This window comes from Homo sapiens, chromosome 1, assembly GCF_000001405.40.
Source record: "Homo sapiens chromosome 1, GRCh38.p14 Primary Assembly".
NCBI lineage: Eukaryota > Metazoa > Chordata > Mammalia > Primates > Hominidae > Homo > Homo sapiens.
In genome coordinates this window covers 211,251,080-211,268,642 of record NC_000001.11, presented here as the reverse complement: position 1 = coordinate 211,268,642, position 17,563 = coordinate 211,251,080, and the positions used below count along the sequence as shown (strand labels likewise).

The following is a 17,563-nucleotide window of genomic DNA, read 5'->3' as shown; positions in this document are numbered from 1 at the left end:
CACTTTGAGAGGCCGAGGTGGACGGATCACCTGAGGTCGGGAGTTCGAGACCAGCATGACCAACATGGAGAAACCTCATCTCTATTAAAAATACAATTAGCCGGGTGTGGTGGCGCATGCCTGTAATCCCAGCTACTCAAGAGGCTGAGGCAGGATAATCACTTGAACCTGGGAGGCGGAGGTTGCGGTGAGCCGAGATCACACCATTGCACTCCAGCCTGGGCAACAAGAGCGAAACTCCATCTCAAAAAAAAAAAAAAAAAAAAAAAAAAAGAAAGAAAAGAAACTTTGATATATCTTTTTAAAACTTCAATATTAAGATACATATTTAAGTTTTAACCCTGTAAAATAAAAATATAAACACAAAATAGCCAACCCACTCAATGGTAATAAAACAAAAATCCTATTTAAGTTGGTCAGAAGCCTTTACTTAATTCATAAAATCTAATGTTATATAAAGTGAATATCCTAAACTTCAATCCTTTAACATGGAACTGATTATTCTGCACAATGGTCATGACAATAAGATCATTTAAATCCTACTTAATAGAACACGAAATGCAACAAAGAAAGTTTTCCATTAAGTCCCAAGTCTTAACGGCATATCATGCTAAATATTTAAACATAATTTCCCTGCATCTCATTCTTGCCTTACAGAAAGTCTGAATTAAAATATCTTCATTAAATGTCCCTTCTCAAAGAGATATTAAACTTTTTTTAAATTTTTCCCCATAAAAGGTAACAGCTACAGGCTGGGTGCAGTGGCTCTTACCTATAATCCCAGCACTTTGGGAGGCCAAGGAGGGCGGATGGCTTGAGCCCCGGAGTTTGAGACCAGCCTGGGAAACATAGCAAGACCTTGTCTCTACTAAAAACACAAAAAATTAGCTGGATGTGATCGTGTGCACCTGTAGTCCCAACTACTCAAGAGGCTGAGGTGGGAGGATCGCCTGAGCCCAGGAGTTCAAGGCTGCAGTGAGCCATGACCACACTACTGCACTCCAGCCTGGGCAACAGAGCAAGACCCTGTCTCAATAAATAAATAAATAAGTTTCAAAAACATTATTAGCATTGTAATTAAGGGCCCCATCTGACAGAAACTGGTATCCAAGTTGTGGGAACTAACAGCTCTTCCAATATCGGTGAGCAGGTAGATAGAGGAGCAGCATACATAGAGCAATCCTGATAGCAGAGAATGCCTAATTAAGCATTTCGCAATTTTCCTTCCCTAACTCTGAACTGGACTCTACTATTTTCAATTATATATGTGTCAACTAGGCCCAAGAGATGACTGATACAGGAAGTAAGGGATATTTCAGTGCAATGGTTAAGAATATGAACTACGAAGCCCAACTCCCAGAGTCTGAATACCAGCTCTGCTACTTGGTAGCTGTGTCACCTTGGATAAATCTATTTAATCTGTCTGTGCCTCAGTTTTCCTTCTCTCTAAAAATATGGATGATGAAAGTACCTACCTGACAGAGTTGCTCAAAAATTAAATGAATTAATGTAAGTACGTGGCATATGGTAAGCATTACCTAAGACTTAATTATTACTAGTATATGCTTATTGAAGACAGTTCTTTCTTAAGTTCCTTCCTTCTTTATCCTAAAAAGGCTTCTTCTCACCTTATCAACTACAAAATAAATGAATAAATCCTCAAGGGGCTGTATCTCAAAAACGGCTGATGTCCTCTCTCACCAACCCCTTGAAAATGAAATTGAATAGCTGTAAATGACCCATTATGTTTTTCTCACAATTCAGACGTGATTCCTTTCCTATAAAACAGGAGAAAGTAACATGTGCTATTAAAAATAACTTATCTACCTCTTGGGACACTTTGTGTCCAATAAGTTTTACCTTTTTCATTGTAAAAGTCAGAATGAACTAAAACATTGAACAGACATTAACCCCATGTTTATTTTGTCTTTAACAGTAACAATATTTAAGATTATACCTCAAAACTATCTGATATTTAGAAACAGTACTGAGACTCAAACCTGACTCACCAACAAAACAACCATGCCTTAGAAGTACCTTATCTTCTGAATAGATTAAAAAACAAACCAAAACCTAGATAGCAAGCTACCATAATTTTAAAAGACTATAGTAGCGTTATCAGTTCTGAAAATGAAATTGTTGAACAATCAGTTGTCTTCAGTTTTAAGTAAAAACATTTAAAGGTTAATCCCTTTGAAATTATTAGATCTTTTAACTGGAGTCTTGCATTTATAAGACTACTGGAGAAAACCAACAACTAGGAAAGGAAAATATAATTCGATAAACTAGGATTTCTACATCAATAAAAATAAAAATCTAGACATTAAAAATAAGGACTTTGACGAAGATCATGGAACAAATATACTATATAAAGAACTTAAATATTGAGAATATTAAGCTGTACTAAACATATTTTAACATTTTACTATTTATATATACTAGGTTCTAAATTATATACTTAATATGTACTAACTTCAAACTTGGGTAAACAAAGACTTTCCCAGGGTACATGAGCATGAGAAAATTTTAAGAGAATCAATTTTCACAACTTTAACTTCCCTATTTTCTCTTTCCCAAGACAATCTGCCTGAAAACTCACCTGCGGTCAAATGATAAGAGGTTAGATTCATTCTACTTCCATCATCTCTCTTCACAAATACCCTTCTCTCACTTAAAAAAAATAAAAGGGCACCATCTCTCATGTATTCCAAATCTTACAAGAGTACATGGCCCAAAATTTTAAACCCTCCAGGGTTTCAAACAGGGTGTCAGGAAAACCCTCCTTTACTCAAGGCACCATAACTACTAGAGTTTTAATCAATTATGCACTAATTGTAATAACTCAAGCCAGAAGAGATTTAACACTCAGAACCTTACTCACAGGTGATCAATAAAGCACTTTTATTTTATTTTATTTATTTATTTGAGACAGAGTCTCGCTCTGTCGCCAGGCTGGAGTGCAATGGTGCAATCTCGGCTCACTCCAACCTCCGCCTCCCAGGTTCAAGCAATTCTCCTGCCTCAGCCTCCCAAGTAGCTGGGATTACAGGTGCCCACTACCACGCCCAGCTGATTTTTTGTATTTTTAGTAGAGATGGGGTTTTGCCATGTTGGCCAGGCTGGTCTTGAACTCCTGACCTCAAGGGATCCACCTGCCTTGGCTTCCCAAAGTGCCAGGATTACAGGCGTGAGCCACCGCGCCGGGCCCAATAAAGCACTTCAAAGCACAAAAAAAATTATATATGATAAAATTCTGTGGAGAAAATGCATGGAAATGACTTCAAAGACAAAAAGGAACAATGTAAACTTTGAGAATGTTAGAAGCTTGTCTACATATTTTACAAACTAGTACTATCACATCACTGTAGTATTTATATTTAATTGGATACATTTAAAATACAGATAAAGACTTTATTATCAAACTTAATATTTTCAATACACTACAGATTATATTTTTCAACTATTTAAACTCAGTGACAAATAACAGATGTCGACTAAAAATACGTGAATCTTTTTTCAAAATTATTTCATGGATATGTAAGTAAAGTATTTTGAAAACCACTACTTTACACACATTAATTTTCACTTAATCTTGTGATATACTTAACATCATCAACCTTTTACAAACGAGAAAACTAAGGCCTAGAGAAGTCAGGTAGTTCATCCAAGGTTATTATGCCATATTAGATTAAAGGCATATGATAAAAAATTAGCCTCTACACACAAAAATTGTTCCTCATGATGTAAGTACAGTTAGTAGGCACTAAATAAACGTTGGGAAGATCTAGTGAACAACGGAAAGAAAATAATCAGAAATCTAGTTAGTAAAGACATTATTATCAATGGTTCCATAATTAAGGTAAACTGTTCCTAATCTCTTAACTTCAGTAATTCCAATATAAATCTCAATTCTTCTCATATTTCCTAAAATAATCACTTTAATAATTCTTTCTTTTTTTGAGACCAAGTCTTATTTTGTCACCCAGGGTATAGTACAGTGGCGCCATCATAGCTTACTGCAGCCTCAACTTCCTGGACTCAAGTGATCTCCCACCTCAGTCTTCTAAGTAGCTGGAAGTACAGATGTGGTATGCCACAACACTTGGCTAATTTTTGAATTTTTTGTGGAGACAGGGTCCCACTATGTTGCCCAGGCTGGTCTCAAACTCCTGGGCTCAAGCGATCCTCTCACCTCAGCCTCCCAAAGAGCTGGGATTATACTCATGAGCTATGACCCCTGGCCAATTCATTCTTTACCTGCTTAACTCTTATCATCATCAGTATCACCTTTTCCAATAAAATTAGTCTCTGTAAAAAATCCTCTCAATTTTTCTACATTCTACATAGCAGATTTTACAGTCTCAGCACCCAAGGAATTTTTCTTCCAAATGACTTCTAGAGCTATGGGTCAACAATCTCCATAAAGATGGATTGAGTGGCTTAGGAAACAAAGATAATGAGAAAGAGAAGAGAGAGGAGCTAACCATTTCTCAATTTCCATAATTAATAAATATCTTTTTGGCAGGGTGTGGTGGCTCAACCGTGTAATCCCAACACTTTGGGAGGCCAAGGCACGCGGATGACCTGAGACCAGGAGTTCAAGACTAGCCCGGCCAACATGGTGAAACCTTTTCTCTACAAAAATACAAAAAACAAAATTAGCCGGGTATGGTGGCATGTGCCTGTAGTCCCAGCTACTTGGGAGGCTGAGGCAGAATTGCTTGAACCCAGGAGGTGGAGGTTGCAGTGAGCCAAGATCGCACCACTGCACTCCAGCCTGGGGGACAGAGCAAGACTCTGCCTAAAAAAAACAAAAAAAAAACAAAACAAAAAAAACTTTTCATCTATTATTTTTCCCAAGGTAATGTTTATATTCTCACCTAATTATACTGATGTGAAAAACTTCACACAACAGCACAACACTTATAAATAAGAATAAAATAGATCAGCAGTATAATGTTGAATGACAGAGGCCCAGTATTTCCCTGTAAAAAATGCCCAATAACTAATAATCTACATTTGATTGATAAGATTAGCTTTTACCAGATAAGAAAAGCCCTCCTAAGTTTAAATGGTAGCTAGTTTTAATTGTGTCCTTAGGTTTAGCATGCTTCTGTAGAAGACTATTAAGCAGAAAATGAGTAAGTGAACTTACAGAAAGTGATGTTTATCCTTATTCTAATAATAAAATTCAATTAGTCTGAGTAAATAAATTGAAAATATGACTTCAATGACTTTAAAAAAAGTAACATTTCAGTGATTTTTTTCCTCCTCAAATATTCTATTTAGGTTTCAAAATAGGCAAAATATTATCGTCAATTAAGTTGGTTAACAATAGCTAAGACTTGGAACCAACCCAAATGTCCAACAATGATAGACTGGATTAAGAAAATGTGGCACATATACACCATGGAATACTATGCAGCCATAAAAAATGATGAGTTCATGTCCTTTGTAGGGACGTGGATGAAATTGGAAATCATCATTCTCAGTAAACTATCGCAAGGACAAAAAACCAAACACCGCATGTTCTCACTCATAGATGGGAACTGAACAATGAGAACACACGGACACAGGAAGGGGAACATCACACTCTGGGGACTGTTGTGGGGTGGGGGCAGGGGGGAGGGATAACATTAGGAGATATACCTAATGCTAAATGACGAGTTAATGGGTGCAGCACACCAGCATGGCACATGTATACATATGTAACTAACCTGCACATTGTGCACATATACCCTAAAACTTAAAGTATAATAATAAAAAAAAAAAGTTGTTTAAAAAATAAAGATAAAAATAGCTTCTTCAAAAAAAAAAAAACCAGTGGCCATGCAAAATCACATTAATATTATTCTGTTTAAGTGATTATTCTCAAAATTTTGAAATTTGTTCCAGTGTTTATCCTGAAACAAAAAAGATGCTTTCCAATGATCAGATCAATGCTTTCCAATGTAATGCTATGGCATGTACAAGTTTGTTCCAGCATTAAGTCTGGCTCTTAAACACAAGACCCCTAATCGAACTGTATATAGTTGTCTATGAAATAAATATTGACTCAGAAATCTACCCACTGGGGCAAAAATATAGGTATGTTTATTAACTTAAAAAATAATTGTAGCTGCTGAGGTATAATTTGGAAATAACTATCACTACCAAAAAAAACCACACAGACTCCCAATGAAAGCTCCAAATCAGAAAGGTGTGAATATATCCAGAATAATTCTTCATAATTACAAATTTTAATGTTTATAGAATAATTGCCATATGCCCATCATTTAATCCTGGCAAGAATTCCATTAGTTTTTATAGGCTGGGCGCGATGGCTCATACCTGTAATCCCAACACTTTGGGAGGTCGAGGCAGCAGATCACGAGGTCAGGAGTTCGAGAGCAGCCTGGCCAACACAGTGAAACCCCATCTCTACTAAAAATACAAAAATTAGCCAGGCATGGTGGCGTGTGCCTGTAGTCCCAGCTACTCAGGAGGCTGAGGCAGGACAATCGCTTGAACCCGGGAGGCAGAGGTTGCAGTGAGCCGAGATTACGCCACTGCACTCCAGCCTGGGCGACAGAGTAAGACTTCACCTCAAAAAAAAAAAAAAAAAAAAAAGTTTTTATAGCTAGGAATACTGAGGCTCAGGGAAAGCCTGTGGCTTGCTCAGACCACAAAAAGAAGAGTTGGGAGTTAGGAATTGAATTCAGTTTTTTTTTTTTTTTTTTGAGATGGAGTCTCACTCTGTTGCCCAGGCTGGAGTGCAATGGCGTGATCTCGGCTCACTGCAACCTCCGCCTCCCGGGTTCAAGCAATGATTCTCCTGCCTCAGCCTCCCGAGTAGCTGGGTTTACAGGTGCGTGCCACCACGATCGGCTAATTTTTTGTATTTTTAGTAGAGACGGGGTTTCACCGTGTTAGCCAGGATGGTCTTGATCTCCCGACCTCGTGATCCACCCGCCTCAGCCTCCCAAAGTGCTGGGATTACAGGCGTGAGCCACCGCGCCTGGCGTGAATTCAGTCTCTTAAAGCCAAAATGTGCTCTTTCCAAATGTCAAGTAAACCCAAAGGGAGCAGAGTGGTGTGAAAGTGCCATTCACCTACTAGCAACATCAATAAAGAAAATTAGTTTCATAAAACATTTAAAATTATTTGAAGCCCATCAGTATACACACTGATAGTCTTTGAATAAAATGTATTCCCAGCCAGTCATTTAGAAGGCAACCCAAATCTAGTGAACACTCTTGCATCACTGTTTTCACCTATTAAAAATGAGACTGTCCCGACTCATTACTTTTCATCCTCCTCACTTGGGACAGGAGGAAGAGCTGCTATCTGAAATCCAAATGGTTGGTAAATATCATTTTGCATTGTCTTAATGGGGAGAGGAGGAACAAAAAAACACGCCTCTGTATCCTAATAATTAAACATTGTTTCTCTCCAAGAAAATACAAGTAAGCTCTTTAATATCTAACATAGAAATCCAATGTCTGACACAAACGCAATATTATGGGCACTGGGCAAAAATTGACAAACTGTAAGGAGGAAAAAAAAAGGTGGGTCCCTTTCAAAGTCTGTCCAAAGCCTTAACTGAGAAGGGTCTCAGGCAGGGTGGGGAGAAGGAAACGCGCTCCACTCCGAGAGGCTCCAGCAAGGGCGCCTCCATATGCGGAACTCTCGCCCAATCCCTGCACAGGCTGAAATCTCGTGACCGCCGGGGAGCCTGTTTGGAGAAAAGTAGACAGGGAGCCCGCAAGCTGGGTTGGCAGAGGACGCTGGAACCTGGCTGGTCGGGGAGAAAATGTCTCCTTGGCAGCTGCAGCCACTGTCCTGTGGTCTAACTTCCCAGAGCTGGCTGGCGAGCGAGGTGTGCCTGCCGCTGGCGTCTCCCCACCCCCTTCCCCCACCCCTTTCTCTCCGCGGCTCCTGCACTCCGCAGAGCTGCCGCGACCAAAGCTACACCACCTAGCCAAAAAGAAAGAAAAGAGACAATCCCGGCTGCGCACAGGTCGGCAGGGCTCGCCCTTGGCTTCCCCGGCCGGTGACAGCCGCCCTGGCCTCTGCCACCCGCCCGACAGAGCGCGGCCCTCGGCGCCGGGGCGAGCGAGGTGGCAATTGACATTTGCACGGTTCGTCCATACAGTCCGCACGCCTGCTCCTCCAGCCCGCGGCCTCGGACCCTGGACTCCGCCAAGGGCCGTCTCCCTCTGCTCACCCCGACCCTGCCCCAGGCTCAAGGGCTAGGAAGGCGATGCCCCCAGCGGGCAAGTGGCCTCCGAAGGGAACCATGTTAACCTTGCAGTGCACACATCTGCCCACACGCCCAGTGTCACAGCCCGGCCAAGCCTGACAGCCTCCCCGCCACGGATGCCTGCCCAGCCCAACCCCGCATCCCCTCCCGGCCCCATGCCCGGACTCCTAGCCCGTCCACCCCAAACCAAGCCCAGGAAAGGGGATATGAGATTTTGCTTAAGCAAATATATCTACCTGGATCAAATTCAGGGATCCGAGCTTGGTATTCGGCTCCGACTCTCATCCCAACATCTGCAAAGCAATGCCAAAAAATATATATAAAAAATAAAAAAGAAGAAAAGAAAGAAAAAGGAAGAGACACTTAAAAAATAAAAATCGCTAGATGGAGGAAAGAAGCGGCGGGTGGATGGGAAGATATCAACTCGGGGCACTCCGGGAGATGGCAGCGGATTGGGGGCGGGGAGCGGGGGGGGGCAAAGGCGGAGGATTGGTCGAGGGCGGAGGGACGGGGGGTCGCGGGGGTGCTGCTGCACTGCACCGGGAGTTCGAGGCTACCGCAGCGCCCAGGCTCTGAGGGGAGGGAGGGCGGGAGAGCGGCGAGGGGAGGGGGCTGGGGGAGGGGAAGAGGGAGGGGGGCAGGCGGGCTGGCGGGGAGGAGTTCGAGGCTACCACCGTGCTCGTCGTCGCTGCTGCAGCCGCTCTCGGGCTCTGAGTAGTGCAGCCCGCCGTTGGTGGACGAGGCGCCGCTGCCGCCGCCGCCTGCCGGGCTCTTGGCGCTGCCGTTGGCCGATCGGTTCTTCCCCAGTAACTCGGGCCCTTTCTCCATCATGCCGGGCATGGTAGAACAGGGGAGGGGGAAAGGTGAGGGGAAGAGGCAGGCGTCAGGGTGAAGGCGGAGATGGCTTAGAGCGCGGGCGGGAGGGAAAGGAGGAGGAGGAGGAGACGGCGGCGGCGGCGGAGGAGGAGGAGGCTGTTAATATGGAGCCGCCATAACCGCCCCGCTCCGGCAGTAGCGCAGTCGCCTCACAACAACCCGCCCCGGCCCCGCCTCTCTCCCCTCCTCCCTCCGCCGCCGCCCGCCCCGCGCAGTCCCGGGCGCCCCTCGGCCGCACCGCGCTCTACGCCGCCGCCGGTATCACTCCGCTCCGCAGGGAGGTTCCGGCCGCCTGGGGGGAGGGGAAGGGGGGAGGGGCGGGGAAACCCCGCTCGCAGGCAGCCGGGCCACCCCAACCAAGCGCTAATAAAATCGCCACCGAGGCGTGGCCGCCGCTCGGGCTTTCTTCCTAGGGGGCGCTCCGGAGCGCGGGCGGGAGATGCACACGAGGGAGCGGGACTCTTTGCCCTCTCTGGGCGGAAGGAACGCGGTCACCCTGAGAAAGGACCGGCGCGACCCGACTGGGCGACCGGGGGGAGCGGCCCCCCCCCTCTGCGGACCGGGCTGCAGGCACGGGCCTGAGCGCGGCGTTCCTCAGATGTCTGGACCCGCAGGCCGCTCAGTTTCCCGGTGTCCGCTGGCAGCCTCGAGCTAGGGGCGCGCTCTGGCCCGCGGTGCAGTCGCGCAGTATAGCAGGGCGGCCTTGGGGCTCTGAGGCCCAACCGGCGAAAGAAGTAGACTCGGCCCTAACCATCTCGACGCTACAATTTTTGTTTCTGGATCTCTGAAGTAGGGCCCAGTTCCCGAGAGAGAGTCTGGGGATGACGGGATGAGTTTCCGGGGCTGAGCGATGCAACTGTTTTTTGCTGAAGCCCCTCTCCCCGATCCTAACCCTACTGTCTTATTCTTACCATCTTTCTTTCCTTTTTTTTCTTCTCTGTTTTAATAGCTGGGGAGTGAGTGCTGTGGAGTGAGGGGGAAATAAGATAAACATGAGACCTGGCCCAGTAGACGCGTTTTCAGTTCTTGCTGACCTGCGGTCTCCGCTTGGAGCGCTGGGGGAGAGGGCGGAGTCCCCCGGCAGAGGTGAAGCGAGAGCTGCTTTCTGGCAGCGTTTCCAGCCTGGAAGGAGTTGTGCTCTGTAATGCTTTTCTGAATTGCATTCGGCGAAAGGAGTAGGAAACTGCGTTTATTCCTTCACCAGATTTGAGGGCATCTGCTGCGTGCCAGGCTGCCTGGCATTGGGGGCTGTTTATGATTTTCTTTTCCTCTTTTTCTGATTTCTTCCCCCCCACTGACGAATAAGTAGAAATAAGTGAGGATTTAACTGTGAGCCTCTAGTATGCAGATGTATGCTGAGCGGTATTGGGGTTCAGCAGATACTCTCCAAACACTTGAAAATACTGTCTTGTAATAATTCTATTATGGGTCAATCCAGAGTGGATCAAACCAGAAATGAACGTCTCTGGCCAGAGCAAACCTTACTGAGAGAAATAATATATCTAACTCAGGAATTGAGCCAAGAAAACCCTGGGAAGTAAATATTTCTGAAGTGAAAAGTCTCCTGTGTGTGTACAAAACTATCTGGTTCTAGTAGTAGAGATAGTCTCATCTCTCTATTAAAGCTTAATGTGATTCCATTAAATATTTGAATCATAAAACTGGACCTTTTATTCTGTTCCTTTTCTCAATAAATGCAGTTCTGAATATTATTTTAATTCCCGTATAGTTTTCCTACAAGGAGAGAATGCCCTGGCCAAATGAAATGAATAGCCATTTTCCTTGACAGTCGTTATTTTTCATTACAAATTAATACACTGGTATGTTGGTCTTTATGCAGCAGTTTCTAATGAACATGATTCAGCTTCTTTGGTCCTGTAACACAAAAGCTAGACCCTGTCAAATGCTCCTCACTCTGAGGCCTCTGAGCCAGCCAGCTTTCTAACACCCAATGTTGTGGCACTCCATGCAGTTTCCTGCAGAAGGGAATCTGCATATAGATCAGGAACCAAAACGTTGGAAAGATTTAGGGACCTTTGTAACTTCTGTTTATTAGTAAAACCAGTAAAGTGAGAAGATTCCATTCGAGCACAGCACAAAAGGGCAGACGCAGAGAAGACTGCATTCCACAGTTAGGAGAAGAACCTGGGCGAGGGGAGAGTATGGCATTTTTTAAACAGGAAAGTATAATAGGTTTCTGTTTTGTTCCTGAAGAAAAGGAAAGCACCTGAAGCTGGCCTGGTTCTGAATAATAATGGACCTTAAAATGTTTCCCAATAGCTAACAAGGACTAATATACAAAGAGAAAAGGTCTAAGGCGAAATCTTGGAAATGCCTGACTGTAATGGGTTAGAAGAGGAAAAGAAGAAGCTGGACATGGAAAGAATGCTTTAGAATGGCTTGATAGGCCAGGCGCGGTGGCCCACGCCTGTAATCCTGGCACTTTGGGAGGCCGAGGTAGGCGGATCATGAGGTCAGGAGATCGAGACCATCCTGGCCGACATGGTGAAACCCCGTCTCTACTAAAAATACAATAATTAGCTGGATATGGTGGCAGGCTCCTGTAATCCCAGCTACTCAGAAGGCTGAGGCAGGAGAATCGCTTGAACCCGGGAGGCGGAGATTGCAGTGAGCCAAGATCATGCCACTGCACTCCAGCCTGGCGACAGCGAGACTGTCTCAAAAAAACTAAAAAAAAAAAAAGGGTTAATAAACAGTGTCCACTGATGCAGAATCATGAGAAGGGCTTAAGAAAAGGCCTTTGGATTTAACTAGAAGGCTGTTATTTTTTTGGCTGGTGTTTTTACTGTATTTTTGAAAGTTTTACTAGGTGCATATTTTAAATTTGGAACAGAATACTTTCTCATAGTTATAAAGTCAAAAGATAGGATGTACTTCAGTATTGTACTACAGATTCCAGCAATGCATAAAGGCAAGGAAAAATGTATAAGGATTGGAAAGAAATACATAAACCTGTTATCTAGAGAAAGCATGATAGTCTATCATTTTATGCATAAAATTACAATAATCTACACACTTAGTATTAAGTGATTTTAAGCAAGTTGCTGGGTACAGTTAGCTATAAAAATCAATTAAATTTTTATGTGCTAGCATTAAACAATTAGAAAATGAGTTTTTGGCCAGGCGTGGTGGCTCATGCCTGTAATCCCACCACTTTGGGAGGCTGAGGCAGGCGTATCACCTGAGGTCAGAAGTTCGAGACCAGCCTGGCCTACATGGTAAAACCCTGTCTCTACTAAAAATACAAAAATTATCCAGGTGTGGTGGTGGGTGCCTGTAATCCTAGCTACTTAGGAGGCTGAGGCAGGAGAATCACTTGAACCTGAGAGGCAGAGGTTGCAGTGAACTGAGATTATGCTGTTGCATTCCAGCCTGGGCAACAAGAGTGAAACTCTGTCTCTAAATAAATAAATAAAATTAGCCAGGCATGGTGGTGCACGCCTATAATCCCAGTTACTTGGGAGGCTGAGGCAGGAGAATCGCTTGAACCTGGGAGGCGGAGTTCACAGTGAGCCGAGATCACGCCACTGCACTCCAGCCTGGGAAACAGAGTAAGACTCCATCTCAAAAAAAAAAAAAGAAAATGAATTTTTTAAAAATGGTATACAAATGCATCAACAATTTCAAATATCTAGTGTTTGAGTTTCCTATGGCCATTGTAACAAATTACCACAAACTCTGTGATTTAAAACAAACTTATGGCCAGGTGCGGTGGCTCACACCTGTAATCCCAGCACTTTGGGAGGCTGAGGCGGGCGGATCACCAGGTCAGGAGATGGAGACCATCCTGGCTAACATGGTGAAACCCTGTCTCTACTGAAAATACAAAAATTAGCTAGGCGTGGTGGCATGTGTCTCTAGTCGCAGCTACTCAGGAGGCTGAGGCAGGAGAATCCTTTGAACCTGGTAGGCAGAGGTTTCAATGAGCTGAGATGGCCCCACTGCACTCCAGCCTGGGTGACAGAGCGAGACTCCGTCTCAAAAAAAAAAAAAAAAAAAAAAAAAAAAAACAACGTATTCTTTCAGTTCTGGAGACCAGAAGTCTGAAGTCAGGGTGTCAACAGAGATGTGCTCCCTCCAGAGGCTCTGAGTAAGAATCTATTCCTTGCTTTTTCCAGTTTCTGATGTCTGCTGACATTTCTTGGCTTGAAGCCACATCACTCCAGCCTCTACCTCTTTTATATAAGGACAATGTGATGATATTTAGGGCCCACCTGGATAATCCAAGATCATCTCCTTGTCTCAAGATCCTTACCCTAATCACATCTGCAAAGACCCTTTTTTCAAATAAGGTAACACTTATAGGTTCCAAGGATTAACACCTCATGTCTTTGGGGATGTGATTCAGCCCACTACTCTTAGGAATAAATCTTATGAAAGATGTGTAAGAACTCTATACTGAAAATTATATTATTGAGAAAAATTAAAGACCCAAATGAATGGCTGTACTCATGGATTGGAAGACGAGATACTCTTTTTTTTTTTTTCTTTTTTTTGAGACTGAGTCTTGCTCTGTCACCCAGGCTAGAGTGCAGTGGCATGATCTCAGCTCACTGCAACCTCTGCCTCCTGGGTTCAAGCAATTCTCCTGCCTCAGCCTCCTGAGTAGCTGGGATTACAGGCATGCACCACCACGCCCGGCTAATTTTTGTACTTTTAGTAGAGATGGTTTTTTTTTTTTTTTTTTTTTTTTTTTTTGGGACAGAGTGTTGCTCTGTCACCGAGGCTGGAGTGCAGTGGCACAATCTTGGCTCACTGTAACCTCCGCCTCCTGGGTTCAAGTGAGTCTCCTGCCTCAGCCTCCCAAGTAGCTGGGATTACAGGTGCCTGCCATCATGCCCGACTGATTTTTGTATTTTTAGTAGAGACAGGGTTTCACCATGTTGGCCAGGCTGGTGTCGAACTCCTGACCTCAAGTAATCCACCCGCCTCGGCCTCCCAAAGTGCTGGGATTACAGGCATGTGCCGTCATACCCGGCCTAGAGATGGGATTTCACCATGTTGGTCAGGCTGGTCTCGAACTCCTGACCTTATGATCCACCCGCTTCGGCCTCCCAAAGTGCTGGGATTACAGGCATGAGCCACGGCGCCCGGCCTGGAAGACTAGATATCCTAAAGATACTGCTCTACCCAAATTGATTTAGTAGATTTAGGCTAATCTCTACTAGAATACCAGCAGGGTGTGAGTGTGTGTGTGTGTGTGTGTGTGTGTGTGTGTGTGTATTAAATTGCAAGCTGATTCCAAAATTTATATGGAAATTGGGAAGGTCAAGAACAACCAAGACAATCTAGAAAAAGAACAAAGTTGGAGGATTTATACCCCCAGATATTACTGCTAAAGCATCTATAAAAATTATTGTGGTACTGGCGTAAGGATAGAAAATAGAAAAATGGATCGAATAGAGTTCCCAAACAGATGCTTATGTGAACATTTTATTTATGTAAAGGTGACACTGTAGTAATGTGGAGAAAACTTGACATGTCAATAAGTAATGCTGGGGCAATGCATATCATGTGGAAAGAAAGTAACCTTGATGCCTACTCATACTGAAAAAAAAAATCAAAATACGTTGTGGACCTCAATGTAAAAGGTAAAACAATAACACTTTTATAATTTCAGGTAGTCAAACATTTCTTAAACAGGATAGAGAAAGCACTGTTTATGCCGGTCGTGGTTGCTCACACCAGTAATCCCAGCACTTTGGGAGGCCGAGGCGGGCGGGATCACGAGGTCAGGAGATTCAGACCATCCTGGCCAACATGGTGAAACCCTGTCTTTACTAAAAATACAAAAATTAGCTGGGTATGGTGGCACGCACCTGTAGTCCCAGCTCCTCAGGAGGCTGAGGCAGGAGAATCACTTAAACCCAGGAGGTGGAGGTTGCAGTGAGCTGAGACCATGCCACTGCACTCCAGCCTGGGTGACAGAGCAAGACTCCATCTCAAAAAAAAAGCACTATTTATAAAGGAAAATATGAGCATTCCAGATACAGAAAATAGTATGGGAAAGGCAAAGAATATTGAATTAAGATGTTATGTCAGACAACTAAAAACGGTTTTGTATTCCTAGAATATGAAGTGAACTCAGAGTTAGGCAAGTTCTGAATCACATTAAGTCTTTTATAGCATTCGAAAGGGTTAGGCAATTTACAGATAATGAAACAGGATCAGAGAGATCTAAGCAGGAGATTGGGTCCAATTGGTATTTTAGATGGAATAGAATTTGTACCCCCACCCTCAAAAAAAAGGACACTATTGAAGTAATCAAGAAATGATGAGGCTTAAATTACAGCAGTGGTAGCAAGGCTAGAGGCAGGGACAGATAAAAATATTTAGTAGCTAAAATTAGCAAAATCTGGGGACGAACTGAATATAGAAAGACAAAAGGAAGGGATGAATTTAATCTGATACAAGGATTTTGGCTTGGGTGTCTGGATAGATGATTGTGTCAACAACTGAGATGATGAATACTGAAGACTTGCCATTTTATGGGACAAGAAGGATGAGTCGCCGGGTGCAGTGGCTCACGCCTGTAATCCCAGCACTTTGGGAGGCCAAGGCAGACAGATCACCTGAGGTTGGGAGTTCGAGACCAGCCTGACCAACATGGAGAAACCCCATCTCTACTAAACAAAATTAGCTGGGCATGGTGGTGCATGCCTGTAATGCCAGCTACTTGGGATGCTGAGGCAGGAGAATCACTTGAACCCAGGAGGCAGAGGTTGCGGTGAGCCAAGATGGTGCCATTGCACTCTAGCCTGGGTAACAAGAGCTAAACTCTGTCTCAAAAAAAAAAAAAAAAAGAATGAATTTATTTCTGGATATATTGGGTACTCCATAGTGAGATATCCAATATGCAGTTGGATATAAAATTAATATCAGCACTGGAGAGAGAGGAGTTGCTAGTGATTGGTTGTAGCTAACCAAGGTTGTAAGACCTGTCTTAGTCCATTCAGGCTGCATAACAAAATACCTTAGACTGGGTCATTTACAAACAATAGAAACTTATTTCTCACAGTTCTGGAGGCTGGCAAGTCCAAGATCAGGGAATCAGCAGATTTGGTGTCTGGGGAGCATTCTCTGCTTCATAGATGTTGCCTTGTTGCTGTGTCCTCACAAGGCAGAAGAGGCAAGGCAGTTCCCTTCAACATCTTTTATAAGGGCACTAACCCCACTCATGCCTTAATAGTTTCCCAAAAGGCCCCACCTCTTAATACAATCACAGTGGGTACTAAGTTCCAACATATGAATTTTGGGGGAACACATACATTCAGACCATAGAAAGACCTAACTAAGTCACACAAGAAGAGCATACAAGATGAAAAGTATAATGAGCTGAGAATGAAAAGCAAGGGAACACCAATATTAAAGAGTGTAAAAGAAGAAAAAAAAAAATCCATGAAAGAGAGTGAAAAGGAATTGAGAAATAGGAAGAGAACTAGGAGACTGTGCTTTACTGAAACCAGGGGTATAGAGAGATGCAAAGAGAAACAGGGTCACCAGGCCAAGAGAGATAAGACTTAAATGCTTATGCAAGTAAGAGGTCATGAATGATTCTGGTAAAAGCAATTTTACTGGGATTAATGGGCTGAAAAGCCAAGCTGCAGTGGATTGAGAAGTGGAGGAAGGAAATAGGAACAAAAAATGTGAGCCTACTCCAGAAAAGTACTCATATGGATAAGGAAAGGAACACACACACACACACACACACACGCACGTGACAACACGTAGTGTCTTGAAGCAAAGTGACTATAGAGATACAGCCAACAAGATGTATATATCTAACATTTTATTTATTTATTTATTTATTTATTTATTTATTTATTGAGACGGAATCTTGCTCCGTTGCCCAGGCTGAGTGCAGTGGTTCGATCTTGGCTCACTGCAACCTCCACCTCCCAGGTTCAAGCAATTCTCCCATCTCAGCCTCCTGAAGTAGCTGGGACTACAGGAGCACACAACCACACCTGGCCAATTTTTGTATTTTTAGTAGAGATGGGGTTTCACCACATAGTTCAGGCTGGTCTCGAACTCCTGACCTCAGGTGATCCACTCGCCTTGGCCTCCCAAAGTGTAAAGGTGTGAGCCACCACGCCCAGCATATATATCTAACATTTTAAAGTTGAAGTACAAATGCTATTTCTCCACTATTATCGTTTCCCCCCGTTATCAGATGGATGTTTAAAGCTGCAACTTTATGTTAAAAAAAAAAAAGAGTAAAGAGTAAGTAATTGGGGCCTGCACAGAGTTTCAGTCTTATTGCCCAGTCTGGAGTGCAGTGATAAAATCTCAGCTCACTGCAACCTTCACCTCCTGGGTTCAAGTGATTCTGCTGCGTCAGCCTTCTGAGTAGCTGGCATGCCCGGCTAATTTCTGTATTTTTTTAGTAGAGACAGGGGTTTCACCATGTTGGCCAGACTGATC

At 43.7% G+C, this 17,563-nt stretch overlaps 1 protein-coding gene and 1 long non-coding RNA gene across 26 annotated transcripts in view, besides 6 other annotated features; one reads left to right on the top strand and one right to left on the bottom strand.

Annotated features, from left to right (window-relative positions):
* Nucleotides 1–9,277, bottom strand: part of RCOR3 (REST corepressor 3) — a 57,020-nt gene extending 47,743 nt beyond the window's left edge. For 13 of the 25 annotated variants that reach the window (NR_146432.2, XR_007061956.1, XR_007061955.1 and 10 more), the window contains exons 1-2: nucleotides 8,914–9,277; nucleotides 8,479–8,535 (exon numbers count right to left, since the gene is read on the bottom strand). Coding sequence is in view for 16 of the 25 variants with exons in the window: in XM_047425046.1 (XP_047281002.1) it covers nucleotides 8,479–8,535; nucleotides 8,914–9,082 (226 nt within the window). In the remaining 9 variants the exon portion in view is untranslated. Of the gene's footprint in view, nucleotides 1–772; nucleotides 869–8,478; nucleotides 8,697–8,913 lie in introns of those variants that run through there. The other 12 variants (NR_146433.2, NR_146434.2, NM_001350070.2 and 9 more) reach the window with 4 other exon arrangements.
* Nucleotides 8,561–9,060: an enhancer, noted in NCBI's record as "H3K27ac hESC enhancer chr1:211432925-211433424 (GRCh37/hg19 assembly coordinates)". NCBI's record gives its function as "activates a minimal SCP1, AML or CMV promoter by ChIP-STARR-seq in primed H9 embryonic stem cells {active_cell/tissue: H9 hESC(primed)}" and the evidence as "EXISTENCE:reporter gene assay evidence [ECO:0000049][PMID:30033119]".
* Nucleotides 8,699–8,998: a silencer, noted in NCBI's record as "silent region_1783". NCBI's record gives its function as "represses an Ori minimal core promoter by ATAC-STARR-seq in GM12878 lymphoblastoid cells {active_cell/tissue: GM12878}" and the evidence as "EXISTENCE:reporter gene assay evidence [ECO:0000049][PMID:35858748]".
* Nucleotides 9,069–9,858: a silencer, noted in NCBI's record as "silent region_1782". NCBI's record gives its function as "represses an Ori minimal core promoter by ATAC-STARR-seq in GM12878 lymphoblastoid cells {active_cell/tissue: GM12878}" and the evidence as "EXISTENCE:reporter gene assay evidence [ECO:0000049][PMID:35858748]".
* Nucleotides 9,069–10,064: a biological region, named in NCBI's record as "NANOG-H3K27ac-H3K4me1 hESC enhancer GRCh37_chr1:211431921-211432422".
* LOC105372902 (uncharacterized) lies at nucleotides 9,451–10,830 on the top strand. The gene is made up of 2 exons (XR_922552.3): nucleotides 9,451–9,907; nucleotides 10,068–10,830. It is a non-coding gene; the product is annotated as an uncharacterized LOC105372902 (long non-coding RNA).
* Nucleotides 9,563–10,064: an enhancer, noted in NCBI's record as "NANOG-H3K27ac-H3K4me1 hESC enhancer chr1:211431921-211432422 (GRCh37/hg19 assembly coordinates)". NCBI's record gives its function as "activates a minimal SCP1, AML or CMV promoter by ChIP-STARR-seq in naive H9 embryonic stem cells {active_cell/tissue: H9 hESC(naive)}" and the evidence as "EXISTENCE:reporter gene assay evidence [ECO:0000049][PMID:30033119]".
* Nucleotides 10,339–10,458: an enhancer, noted in NCBI's record as "active region_2482". NCBI's record gives its function as "activates an Ori minimal core promoter by ATAC-STARR-seq in GM12878 lymphoblastoid cells {active_cell/tissue: GM12878}" and the evidence as "EXISTENCE:reporter gene assay evidence [ECO:0000049][PMID:35858748]".
* Nucleotides 10,831–17,563: the final 6,733 nt, after the last annotated feature.